Source organism: Homo sapiens, chromosome 1, assembly GCF_000001405.40.
Source record: "Homo sapiens chromosome 1, GRCh38.p14 Primary Assembly".
Lineage (NCBI taxonomy): Eukaryota > Metazoa > Chordata > Mammalia > Primates > Hominidae > Homo > Homo sapiens.
The window spans coordinates 230,395,037-230,408,722 of record NC_000001.11 but is presented as its reverse complement, the minus strand read 5'-3'; the positions used below and the strand labels follow the sequence as shown (position 1 = coordinate 230,408,722).

Below are 13,686 nucleotides of genomic sequence, written 5' to 3'. Positions count from 1 at the left end.
TTTGGTCTATTTTGAGTTTTTTTGGTATATGATGTAAGGTTTCCATTTTTTCTTTTGCATGTGGATATTCAGTTGCTTCAGCACCATTAATTGAAAAAAACTGCTTTTCCCCCATTGAATTATTTTGACACCTATGGTCAAAAATCAATCGATTGTAATTTATTTTCTATTTTAATAACTGTCCCTTTCTTCTTGACTACTTCGCAATAAAATATGTATTGCTCTACAGTCATTTGAAAACAGTATGCTATTTCCCCAGGTAAGACTACTTTCCCCTCAACAAGACCTTCTATATCAGGAATTCTTATTTAACTTTTATCATACTCAGTCCCAGAGATTGATTGTTCTTTTACATTACATGCATACATACATACAAGATACATCAAATATACATTTTTGTCCAAGTGGGTAAATGTTTGCTTAAGTCAAGACGAAGCCAATTATGGAAGGAATTTCTAGGATACAAGAGTACTGCCTGAAATTTTGTTTAAAAAATTTATACTGTATTAGATTCAAAATTATAAAGGTTGACAATGTAGTATAGATATAATAACCTCTCATGCTGTCAGTGGCTTGATTGTACCTGTAGTCACTCTACCACACATTTGTGAAAATTAAGAGCGATTCAGTTGGGACTGGGGACTGGGCAAGGCAATTTGGGCTACAACTGTGAACACAGGGTACTTCTGCCAGTGACGTCTCCACCATTCTCTCCAGCAGTAGCTCTCTAAGGTAAAGACTTACCTTCTTTTCATCTCCTAGACTTGAGGATTTGACCAATCCACAGGATGATGCAGTTTCATGGACACAAACCCATGAACAAATCCTTGGTTCACTGCTTAGAGGTATTCTTTGAATATTTTTAGGAGTAAATTTCAGATGTTGCCCCGATTATAATTTTTACTTGTGATATTTCTGCATGCAGTTGTTTCCTCTCATAATCGCTTGAGGAAAAACTAGGAGTGTGTCAATGGAGCAATATGTCTATCTTTCAAGATAAAATCATTTTTGAACTTCTGTCTGCATCTCAGATTTTTTTTTCTATGAACATTAGTTTTGATGTCTTCCCTGAGGAGACAATAGATATCATGTAAGGAACACTTACGCTCTCATGACACATCAGTTTGATTACCCAGAATTCCCTGGGACAGCCAGCCAGAAAGGGAGGGAGAAACATGGCTGATTTCCTCATTAATCCAGCAAGCAGGCTGTCAGACTCAAAGGCCTGGATGTGTTTGCACAGCCAAATGTCTGCTGTACAAGATACAGAAGGAGCACATTAATTCAGGGAACAGTTTTTTTTTCCGTAATATGGTTTCCAGGAGGAACTTAATAATCAGGATTCATAGCTTGGGCAAATCTCAGCAATTCTTCATCTTCTAACTACTGAAAATGATAATTTGTTCATGATAATCATTTTAACAGCCATTTTGAGTGTCGCTTTAGTCTTCATAGACTTAAAACTACAAGGAGTTGTCTGAAGACATTCTTAAGAGGTCTATTATTGAAAACAGACATTTTTCTGTAACTCTTTTCTTCAAGCTCTGAATATTCTTTTTTAGTCCTAGATTGAAAGTGACGTATTCTGGACTGGACATGGTGGTTCACGCCTGTAATCCCAGCATTTTGGGAGGCCAAGGCAGGCGGATCACCTGAGGTCAGGGGTTCAAGACCAGCCTGGCCAACGTGGCGAAACCCCGTCTCTACTAAAAATACAAAAATTATCTGGGTGTGGTGGTGCACGCCTGTAATTCCAGCTACTAAGGAGGCTGAGGCAGAATTGCATTTGAACGTGGGCGGTGGAGGTTGCAGTGAGCGAAGATTGCGCCATTGCACTCCAGCCTGGGCAACAAGAGTGAAACTCTGTCTCAAAAAAAGTGATGTTGTCAAACTTGATTGTGAAATTTTTATCCCTGAATTTTTAACGTGGTATAGTTGAGTTTTTGCTTTTAACTCATCATCACCAGATGAAGAATTTGCAAATAGGAATGTTTCTTGAAATAGTTATAGCCTGAATAAAATTAAATGACAATAAAATTACACTAAGTTCTTAAGGGCTATTTAGTATTATGAAAGCTAATATATGAAATAATTCTCCAAAGATTATAATTATGATATAATCTAAACTCTGTTGTTCTGTCTTGTATTATTACTTAAATTTTATAACTGTCATTTCTAAAAGGATAAATATTCTTTCTAAAGTTATCTGGACAACATACTCATAATATTTCTGTTAACTGTCATTCTGTTTCTCAGTTTATATACTTCAAGGCTCTTAATTTCTTAATATTTTTTTGCCTATAAAATTAGTAGCTATTACAGTCTTTAATTATTGCAACATTTTACTCTTGCAGTAATAACTAAATATTTCTACTTTAACAGAATTTCTTTTTTTTTTTTTTTTTTTTTTTGAGACGGAGTCTCACTCTGTTGCCCAGGCTGGATGGAGTGCAGTGGCGTGATCTCGGCTCACTGCAAGCTCTGCCTCCTGGGTTCACGCCATTCTCCTGCCTCAGCCTCCCGAGTAGCTGGGACTACAGGCGCCCGCCACCATGCCCGGCTAATTTTTTGTATTTTTAGTAGAGATGGGGTTTCACCATGTTAGCCAGGATGGTCTCGATTTCCTGACCTCATGATCCACCTGCCTCGGCCTCCCAAAGTATTGGGATTACAGGCGTGAGCCACTGTGCCCAGCCAACTAACAGAATTTCAAACTGTAAAGAATCCTAGCATATTTTTAGTCTGAGTTGTGTCTTAGAATTATCTGTAAAAGTAAATACTGTGGCATTAATTTAAAAACTGAATTGCATGTCTTGTGCATATCACTGAGATGCATTCTGCTTAGACATGATGGGAATCTACACTATTAAATGACAACAATCACCCATCAAATCAAGGGTGTCAGAAACAACATTGAAATAGGCATCAACTATTCACCCCTGAGAAGGCCCAAGACCGTTTGGCTCATTGGTCATCAGTTCTTTCTCCTCTTTTCTCACTGTAGGGTCTTGGTTCTGGTCCATATATTTTTAGAGACCTTTTTTTACTGTTGTCCTCAGCCAGGGAGGCTACTGGTATATACAGCTGATGCTTGAACAACACAAGGCTTAGGGGAGCTGACCTCCCACACAGCCAAAAATCTGTGTATAAAACTTAACTAATAACAGACTACTGTTAACTGGAAGCTTTACCAATAATATAAATGGTCAATTAACAAATATTTTGTATGTTATGTGTATTATATACTGTATTCTTAAAATAAGCTAGAGAAAAAAATATTATGAAGAAAAATCATAAGAAAGAGAAAATATATTTACTGTTCGTTTAGTGGAGGTGGATCATCCACGCCTTCTTCAGGTTGAGAAGGCTGAGGAGAGAAGGATGAGGAGGGATTGGTCTTGCTGTCTCAGGGGTGGCAGAGGAGGAAGGAAATCCGGGTATAAGTGGACCCACACAGGTCAAACCCGTGTTGTTCAAGGGTCACCTGCACTCTCAATTTTTTTCTTCATATATCTTTTTTTTTTTTTTGAGGTGGAGTCTCACTCTGTCACCCAGGCTGGAGTGCAGTAGCGCAATCTCAGCTCACTGCAAGCTCCGCCTCCCAGGTTCACGCCATTCTCCCGCCTCAGCCTCCCAAGTAGCTGGGACTACAGGCGCCTGCCACCACACCCAGCTAATTTTTTTGTATTTTTAGTGGAGACGGGGTTTCACCTCTTCATATATCTTTTTAAAAAAAAAAAAAAAACTTGATAGCTGAGTGATACCTTGCCTTGGGAAGCCTTTTTTTTTTTTTTTTTGAGATGGAGTTTCGCTCTTGTTGCCCAGGCTAGAGTGCAATGGCACAATCTTGGCTCACTGCAACCTCTGCCTCCCTGGTTCAAGCAATTTTCCTGCCTCAGCCTCCAGAGTAGCTGGGATTACTCCACCACGCCCAGCTAATTTTGTATTTTTTGGTAGAGGCGGGATTTCTGCATTTTGGTCAGGCTAGTATCGAACTCCTGACCTCAGTTGATCTGCCAAACGTCAGCCTCCTAAAGTGCTGGGATTACAGGCGTAAGCCACCTTGCCAGGCCATATATATATATATATATATTTTTTTTTTTTTTTTTTTGAGACAAGACTTTGCTCTGTCTCACCCAGGCTAGAGTACAGCAGCACAGTTGCAGCCCACTGCAGCCTCAGCCTCCTGTGCTCAAGTGATCCTCCCCTCCCTCCTCAGCCTCCCAAGTACCTGGGACCACAGGTGCGCGCCACCACACTTGGCTAATTTTTTAAAATTATTTTTAGAGATGGGGGCCCAGGCTGGTCCCAAACTCCTAGGCTCAAGCAATCTTTCCACCTCAGTCCCCCGAGTAGCTCAGACCACAGGAATCTGCCACCACTTCTGGCTAATTTTTTAAATTATTTGTAGAGATGGGGTCTCCCTGTGTTGCCCAGGCTAGTCTCGAGCTCCTAGGCTCCAGCAGTTCTCCTGTCTCTGCCCCTGAGTAGCTGGTGTGCATGTTTTCTCATGGCATGTATCTAGAGCTTGGGGTCTTCACTGCCCCTGTTCATCCGTCCCTTTTCCTCCCAGGTCTCAGGATGCACCCTCACAGTCTCATAGCTTGACGCCTTCCACCCGGCATCTTCCACTCTGTTCTTTCCTGGTCTTGATCTTCTGAGTGAGTAACTCAAGAATCCTATGTGCCCACCTTTCTTCTCTTTGAAGAGTTGTTTAGTTGGGAAATCATGTTTTCTAGTTACAGGAAATCTTTTTTTTTCCTCCTCTGTATGTTGCAGTAGAATCCTCTTGAGCACTATAATTATTTTAATTAAAATTCAAGTTGTATGTATCCTCCAGTAGCTCCCTCTTTCTGGGGGTGTGTCTGTTTCTTCTGGGCGGTCCCCCTTGTGTGTTGCTGAGACTCTTGGAAGGGGTTATCACTCTTCGTTGGCTCAGGGGGCCTGGGTCTGGTGGAGCACTGATGGGGTTAGTGGGCCTGCCCTGGTGGGAGAGAAGGCGGCTCTTCTGTGTCCAGAGCGGACCCCGCATGACCTTCCCTTTACTTGTGGGCTCTGGGACTTGCAGCGCCACCTGCTGCTTTGCCCCTGGAGCCTGGGAATCCAGGCGGAGCACTCAGGATGGGGCTGGTTTTCCTCCAGGGCCCGCAGGTCTCTCCAGGCCAGCCTCCCCTGAGGCCTTTGGCTCTAAGATCCTCATCCTGAGGCTCTGGTGCTGGTCTCTCCAGCTTGAGAGGGAAGAAGCCCTACACTGGACCTCTCCACTGGGAACTACACTGAGTGCACCCAGCCACTTCTTCTCAGTGCTGTAGAGACAGAAGGGGGACAAGTGGAGGGTGAGAGGCGATGTTGGGCTCAACCATCTTCACTCAGATACCTGAAAGGCTTGATCTCAAGGAAAAGAGTAAACATTGACAGGGCAGCACTCCACTTAAATTATTTTATTTCACACTTAGGTTTAAGTATTGTTATCCCCATGAAACAGACGTTGGGAGATTAAGACACTTCGACTGTAAGTATTAGTGGTAGAGTCAGGAATTGAATGGGGTGTGCTTTGGTCAAACTCTTAGGTGCTTTTGCATCCACCCATGTTTCTGTTAGAGAAGAGGCCTGGAGGCATGCTTGCCATAGACTAAGCACTTGGTGTTAGCTGTTCTTGTCTGATAGGACTCTAACGACCTCACAATTACACACCGATGGGCAGCTGGGAAGAAAATGATGGAGTGATGTGCGGTTCACAAAGGCTTGATCTTGTAGTTGCTTGGATGAAGACAAGGATCCATTAAAAGCAGGTCTCCCTAACAAACCTCATTCTGGAACATCAAGTTCAATGGTCATATAAGCAGTTGCTCAAAGCTACCATATCATTGGCAGAGAGTCACATGTGTTCTACCAGACTAAATATATAATCATTGAGACATATTAAAATGTTGCTGGCTGGGCACTGGGGCTCGTGCCTATCAACCCAGTGCTTTGGAAGGCCAAGGTGGAAGGACTGCTTGAGCCAAGGAGTTTGAGACCAGCCTGGGCAACATAGCGAGGGCAAGCCAAGGAGTTTGAGACCAACCTGGGCAGCAAAATCTCTACAAAAAATTTTAAAAATTAGCCAGGAGTGGTGGTATGTACCTGTAGTCCTACCTACTTGGGAGGCTAAGGCAGCAGGATTGCTTGAGCCCAGGAGTTTGAGGCTAAACTCAGAGGCAAAGCCCCCTCCCCCAACAGTGAGCTCTCTTCACACCACTGCACTCCAACTTTAGTGACAGAGCAAGACCCTGTCTATAAAATAAAAAGTTAAAATGTTGCTATTGCTATCATTAAAAGCTTTTTGTTTGGGTCTGTAGAGATAGCTTCTCACTTTCTATCTGGAGAAGCGTTCCTGGACCTTCCTCGAGGGCAGCGAGGAGAGGCGTTAGGCCACGTGGACTTCTGTGGGCCTGCCTAGGCCGTGAACTCCCAGGCCCACTCCCTCTAGGGTGATGACTTGTGTGTGAACACGGATGTCAGTTTCATTTAGAATCAACTCACATGGAATCTGTAGCTCACAAGAAATGTGGTTACAGAATATGCTTAGTAATGCTTGGCATGTTCATTTCTTTTTTTTTAAGGAAAGACTGGAAAAATCTGAGCCTGAAAGGCTTCATCTGGACTCAAAGGCAAAACTGCCTTCTCTCCCCCTCCCTGTCACCCACCACTTCCTGGCAGCAGCTTTGGTATCTGGGGCTGCTGCTGTCTTACAGTGTGAGACACTTCAGGAGCCCTTGCCCTCCCTCCCCACAGCTCATCAGAGTCCGTCAGCTCTCAAAGGCCAGCAGCCTTGCCTCTCCTTGCCTGGGAGCAGTTGTGGATGTCAGCCCCGTTTGCTCTTGGTGTGCCAGGAGGTGTGTCGTATGGGGAGGTGAGCAGCGCGCCTGCCTGTGTTGCCAGGGCGCCTCCAAGCCCTGGCAGGAGAAAACCAACCCCAGGAAAGGAAGCCCAGTGACTAGAGGTCAGCGAATGTGGCCGGAGGCCTGAGGGCTCTGATGCGGGGAAAGGCCGGGCAGCAGAAACCCTAGATTATGAAGGGTAAAATCTGATTACTTGCTGAGGCCAGTGTGTTTTCAGTGTTTCTTTAATCCACTGGAAGTCAGAGGTGAGTGAAAATTTCATAAAAGAATTATTTTTTCCTTCTGGGTCTTGCCGCCTTTTGATCTTGGCATAGGACAAGGATCTGCTCAAGGGTCGTTTCTCGGATCTTTCCTTAGTGCTGTTTGCTATTTACGCTTCTCCCTGGCCCCAAGCAACAGGCCAGATCAGGCCCTCATGTGACAAGCTGGGAGTTCCCCATGAGAAGAGCCACCTCAACGGGGATGAGCAGTCCCGGAGCACGTACTGCCTGTTGGAGGCCGTGTTATACACATGCGCATATGCTGACCCGCCATGAGCGCCACCTGTGTCCAGTGTGCTTTGTCTGTGCCCCACAGCATGTGAGGGGTGGAGCCAGGATGTGCTCCTGTGACCCAAGGGAGCCGGTGACCCAGGTGCCAAGGCCAGCGTCCTTAACTCCCACCACGCAGCTCTCCTAATGGTGAATGCGGCCCAATGCCTGTCCTGACCATCTGCGTAGGGCTGTGCCTTCTGGTAAATGTTAGGTATCAGGTGGGAGGGACAGTGAATGAGGAAGGGGACAAGGACAGTCTCCAGGTAACTGTAGATAATATGCGTGCTTCTCAGGGTGGTGATACAATCTCATGGGCTTTAGTATCTAGGTCAGAATTCTGACCTGTTTGTAGTTATGTGTTCTCTGAGTCCGTTTTCTCATTTATAAAGTAGAGAAACTTCAACCTGACTTACTGCAAGGCAGTTGTGAACATTGAATTGTGCAGCCTTTTTGTTAGAGATGGGATCATGCTGTGTTGCTCAGGCTAGAGTGCAGTGGCTATTCACAAGTGCAGTCAGCACACTACAGCCTAGAACTCTGGTGAGTGATCCACACACCTCAGCCTCCTAAGTAGCTGGGACTGCTGACATGTGCCACCGTGTCCAGCTTAAATTGTGCAACATTTAACATTTAACATTTCTAAGAAAGAAAACCTCTTTCTTAGTGTCTGGCACATGAGAAATACTGAGTAAGTATTGGCACTTCTCCTGCTACTGTTCTTTGGTGACCACGCAGTGGATAGTGAAGCTAGGTTTTAAGTCTTTACTGAGCACCCATTATGTCTCAGGCACTGTTTTGGGCTTTTAGAATACATCAGTGAACCAAATAGATTCTGGCCTCCATGAAGCACACATTCTAGAGTGGGTAACAGACAATAAGCAGTGAACCAATAAGCAGATGGCATGTTAAAAAGGAAATGTTGTAGAAGGAAACAGTAGGCAGGTTTAGGGGGCTTGAGAGTGTGGGGGAGGGGTGGAAGGCGTCTGTTGCAGAATTAAATAGGGTGGGCAGGCCTGATTCAGAAGGTAAGATTTGAGCAAAGCTCCCAGGCGGTGAAGGAGTTGGCCCAGTGCATTTCTGGCAAGTGGAGATCCCTCCCATCCAGGTGAGGTGCCTGACAGTGTGAGGCCCGAGGCAGGAGTGTGCCTGGTGGGCGAGGCGCGGAGGAAGGAGGAAGGCGGTCAGAGAGCTGCAGGGTGGAGGCGGGGCACAGAGGGCCTTGCAGGCTGTGGGAAGAACTTGGCTTGCATTTTGAATGAGATGAGGAGTCTTTGGTGGATTTTTAGCAAAGGGATAACATAGCCCTGTGTAAGTTTTAAAGAGATGCTGTGAGTGCCAGGTTGAGAACAGACCCTAAGAGGACAAGCGTGGGATCTGGCTCCCGCCATAACCTGGCAAGAGATGGTGGAGACGATGAGACGCCTTCAGATTCCTGACGTGTTGTGAAGCTAGGACCAGCTGGCTGCCCTGATGGATCGCGTGTTTCCACCGTGGGAACTGAGTATTGGAAGGATCTGCGGCAACGTGGGCAGGAGAAATAGGCGTCATTTTGTGAGTTTGGATTGAGTATCATGTGCCCTCAGCAGCATCCTCCGGTCTGCGGGGGTCCTTCAGCCACTTGACCCTACTCCCACTGCACATTCCTATGGTCACGACTGGTGACGGTGGGAGCAGCACTGGTAGCAGATGTCTGAGAGAGGACCAGACCAGAAGGCTGGCTCTACGTGGTCCATGATGGCTGAATTCAGGGGTGTCGAGGAGATGGCATGTACCTGCCTTCTCCTGTAAAGTAAACGTATGGGTAACCAGACCCATGGGAGGGTTTTGGAAGAGGGTGGGGCCACGGCAAGGGGTTAGGTCTGCAGGTAGCCCCCTCCTGTGGGGATCAGCTCTCCAGGGCATCCCTGGCCTGGGCCTCGTGTTCTGAGCAGTCAGCTCCGTGGGAGAACGGACTCCCTGAGAAGACACCAAGTGTATATCAGCAAAGTGGGGGACTGTTCTCATGAAGCAGGGTTGCCAGACAGAATACAGGACACCAGTAAAATTTAGATTTCAGATATACAATAATTGTTCAGCTTAAGCTTGCCGGTCATTACATGGGCCGTATTTACATATGAAAAAAATTACTTGTTTATTTGAAATCCAAATAGCGCTAGCTGTCCTGTATTTTAATTTGCCAACTCAGGCTCCTGTCTCGGTGTGTTCTTGCTCACTGATGAGCTGCACCTGACACTTAGCCACCCCCCCTTAGTAACCTGTGAGGGTTGCCAAGAAACAAGACTTTGAAAGAGCCATTGAATTTTGTGGGGAAAAGGTTCTGCCGGGCTCCTGGGTCTGTCTTTCCCTCTTGTCGGAGCCTGGCCCCGAGCTCATTGGAGCACTCTGCATCCAGCCCTTCCGCTTCTGTTTCAGACCAGCTGCTCTGGGGGACTCCATGCTGGCCCATGGCTATGTTTTGAATCTTACCGATGTGACAGTGCAGGCCCTTAAGGAGGTGGTGCTGAGGACTGAGAGCAATGCACTGATGCTCGAGATCTTCACCCCCTAAAAACCCAGTTCTGGGAGCTGTGGGGTGGGGTCACTGCCAGGAGCCCAGAGGTCTTGGGTGGGCTCTGCCTACTGAGGGCTTATGGTCTGGTCTGCTGGGGAGAGGGCCTTGCCCAAGACCCCTGTCTCTAGTTCTGTCCTAGAACTGCCTAGTTCTGTCTAGTTCTGCTGAACAGCACCTCCCATCTGTCATGAGCTGAATTGTGTCCACCCCAAATTCATATGTCGAAGTCCTAACCCCTAGTACTTCAAAATGTGACCTTCTTTGGAGATGAGGTCTTTAAAAGGTAATTAAGGTAAAATGAAATCATATGGGTGGGCCCTAATCCAATCTGATTGGTGTCCCAGTAAGAAGAGAGGAGGACACAGACACACATGGGGGAGCCCATGCGAAGACATGGAGACCGCCCTGTGCAAGCCAGGAGAGAGGCCTCAGCAGGAAACAAGCCTGCCAACACCTTGATCTCACACTTCTCGCCTCCAGCACTGTGAGATAATAAAGTTCTGTTGTTTAAGCCACCGTTCTGTGGTACTTTGTTATGGTTGCTTAGCAAATGAATGTACCATCCTACAAGATGAGACGTGCAAGGCTAGACAGGAAAGCAAGGCAGGGAGGCTGGATTCTGGGGGTTCAGATGGAGCGGTCTCAGCTCTGTGCCACTCAGCCTTTTGCCAACTGGGACTGTTTCAGGGTCCTATAGGAGTTCCTGGGTGCCAGATGTGCCATTTCAGACTGGAAGGTAACCCATTAAATCTGGCCTTGCAGATCTGTGAGAGGGGAACGACTCCTTCTCCAGGGCACAGCCACCAGTTGGGTGGTGATAGCTTCTGAGCAAGAGGAGTCTGTGCCCATGTAGGGGACGCTACCCCCAAAGCCAGCTCTGTGCTCTCACATAGAGCTGGATTCTTCCCGGCAGCATCCTGTGGTTAAGCTTTAGAGAAGGCAAGACACATAAGGAAGATGTCATCCAATTCAGAAGCTCTGAGCCTGCCGATCTTCCTTGAGGAGGTCTGACTTCGCTGTGTGTTTGAGCTGTGGAAGAGATCACCATCTTAAGTCACAGGCCCACGATTTTTGCCTCTGTGTATGCCCAGGCATTCCTTGAGGAGATTTGGGGAAAAATATCCCAGAGCTATTTTTATGTCAGTGACATCTTTGGGTAATTAAAATTACTTTTATATCATTGTTCTCAGGCATGAACTTGATAAATATTCTTAAATCTCCTCTTGCTTGGATTAATTTGCCATTTAAAGATTCATCTTTATAAAAATGTCACTTTATGTGTCAAAAACTAGGAATTAGAAGACTGGGTAGATTTAAGGAAACGAGCAAATCTTGATTCTGTATTGGTTTTGCTATGCTTCAGAACTTCAAAATTATGAAAGTCTTACTTTTGCTACTGGAATGCTATGGTGGTGTTTTTACTTTGAATTCCATAATTAGGGAGACAATTAGAAAATGTAGCCACTGAGGTTAGCAAAGCCAGGGTTGTAGTTCCACGTGATAAAGCAGTACAGCTTGCAAGGTGGGCATCCAGATTTCTGAGCGGGAACAGTGGGAAGGAATTCCTCCACAGTGGCGGGGGTGAAGGTGTGGTGTGAGCATGCAGGCGCGTGTGCGGGTGGGCAATGGGAGGCCTCAGTGGAGTCTTGATTCCCATCTCTTGGAATCGGGTCACAGAGAGCCGAGGATTCGGCATAAACCAGGTGAACTCCCTCTCCAGTGACAACAGTGCACCTCCCAGCTGTCCTTAGAAAGGACCCCCAAGGCGTGACTCCAAACCCCTGGAAAGGGCCATAGGTGTGGGACATTTCCAGGAGTGCTCTGACTTCCAGCGTGATTTTAAATGTGAGTGGCCATTGTACATAGCACCTTGCTAACAGGCTTGTCACACTCATTGGTCTGCTCCGCACACAATCCCATGGGGAGGGTGCCTCTCCGCCAGTGTATGCTTCCGGTTTTAAATGCAAGGAAATGGAGGCTCTGAGAGCAGAGTGGCCTGCCGGGATCTCATGTCAGTACACGGTGTTGTTTCAGGCGGACACCATGGTTTTGTAACTCCAAAGCCAGGCCCTTCCTATGATGCCCCCATGTGTGCCGTCCTCAGGTGCCTCAGGATAGGTGTGTCTCTGGGTTGAGTGTGGTCTCATGTTCAGGAGCTTGTGGTCCATTCCAGATGAATGCAGGGGGAGGGGGGGCAACAAAATGTACCTTAGCTGTCAAGGGGGCTGGAAGGAGAACCTGATAGTATGGGTGAGTGGAGGAGGACCCTGGCTGCGGAAGTAGGGGGAAGTTGAGGGGGAGGAGGATAGAGAGTGAAAGGGAGGATGGTGGGGATGGGGGAGGAGGGTGGAGAGTGAAAGGGAGGAGCTTGGGGAGCAAAGGGGGAGGAGGGTGAAGAGAGTAACTTAAGAATAGGGAGTAGAGGAGAAGGAGTGTGGGGTAAAAGGGAGGAGTGTGGGGGTAAAAGGGAAGAGTGTGGGGGTAAAAAGGAGGAGTGTGGGGGTAAAAGGGAGGAGTGTGGGGGTAAAAAGGAGGAATGTGAGTAAAAGGGAAGAGTGGGGGGGTAAAAAGGAATGTGGGTAAAAGGGAGGAGTGTGGGAGTAAAAGGGATGAGTATGGGGGGTAAAGGGGAGGAGAGTGGAGGGTGGAGCAGTAGGAGGAGCAGAAAGAGGGAAGCAAAGGGAAGATGGAGGAAAGAGGGAAGCAAAGGGAAGACGGAAGCAAGGGAGCAGAAAGAGGGAAGCAAAGGGAAGAAAGAGGGAAGCAAAAGAAAGAGGAGCTTGAGGTTGGGGAGGAGGGTGGGAAGTAAAAGGGAGGAGCTCAGGGATGGGGAGGAGCGTGAGGAGGGGAGGAGGGTGGGAGTAAGAGAGGAACTTGGATGGGGAGGAGCATGAAGAGGGGGAGGAGGGTAGGAATGAGGAGCTCAGGGATGGGGAGGAGTGTGGGAATGACAGGAGCTCAGGGATGGGGAGGAGTGTGAGGAGGGGGGAGGAGGGTGGGAGTGAGGAGCTCAGGGATGGGGAGGAGTGTGAGGAGAGGAGGGGAGGAGGGTGGGAATGAGAGGAGCTCAGGGATGGGGAGGAGTGTGAGGAGAGAAGGGGGAGGAGGGTGGGAATGAGAGAGGAGCTCAGGGATGGGGAGGAGCATGAGGAGAGGAGGGGAGGGGGTTGGGAATGAGAGGGGAGCTGGGATGGGGAGGAGTGTGAGGAGGAGGGGAGGAGGGTGGGAATGAGAGAGAAGCTCAGGGATGGGAAGGAGTGTGAGGAGAGGAGGGGAGGAGGGAGGGAGTGAGAGAGGAGCTCAGGGATGGGGAGGAGTGGGAGGAGAGGAGGGGAGGAGGGTGGGAGTGAGAGGAGCTCAGGGATGGGGAGGAGCATGAGGAGAGGAGGGGAGGGTGTTGGGAGTGAGAGGAGCTGGGATGGGGAGGAGTGTGAGGAGAGGAGGAGAGGAGGGTGGGAATGAGAGAGGAGCTCAGGGATGGGGAGAAGCGTGAGGGGGGGAGAAGGGTGGGAATGAGAGAGGAGCTCGGGGATGGGGAGGAGGGAGGGAGAGAGGAGCTCGGGGATGGGGAGGAGTGTGAGGAGAGGAGGGGAGGAGGGTGGGAGAGGAGCTCGGGGATGGGGAGGAGTGTGAGGGGAGGAGGGAGGGAGAGGAGCTTGGGGATGGGGAGGAGTGTGAGGGGAGGAGGGAGTGAGAGAGGAGCTCTGGGACGGGGAGG

General features: G+C 48.0%; 1 protein-coding gene and 1 long non-coding RNA gene across 2 annotated transcripts in view, besides 1 other annotated feature; both read left to right on the top strand.

Moving 5' to 3' along the window:
• PGBD5 (piggyBac transposable element derived 5) overlaps nucleotides 1-13,686 on the top strand; it is a 111,843-nt gene that overhangs the window by 17,610 nt on the left and 80,547 nt on the right. The window lies entirely within an intron of this gene.
• LOC124904543 (uncharacterized) lies at nucleotides 6,119-10,484 on the top strand. Its single transcript, XR_007066931.1, has 2 exons — nucleotides 6,119-8,968; nucleotides 10,313-10,484. It is a non-coding gene; the product is annotated as an uncharacterized LOC124904543 (long non-coding RNA).
• Nucleotides 8,090-8,723: an enhancer, noted in NCBI's record as "H3K4me1 hESC enhancer chr1:230535746-230536379 (GRCh37/hg19 assembly coordinates)". NCBI's record gives its function as "activates a minimal SCP1, AML or CMV promoter by ChIP-STARR-seq in naive H9 embryonic stem cells {active_cell/tissue: H9 hESC(naive)}" and the evidence as "EXISTENCE:reporter gene assay evidence [ECO:0000049][PMID:30033119]".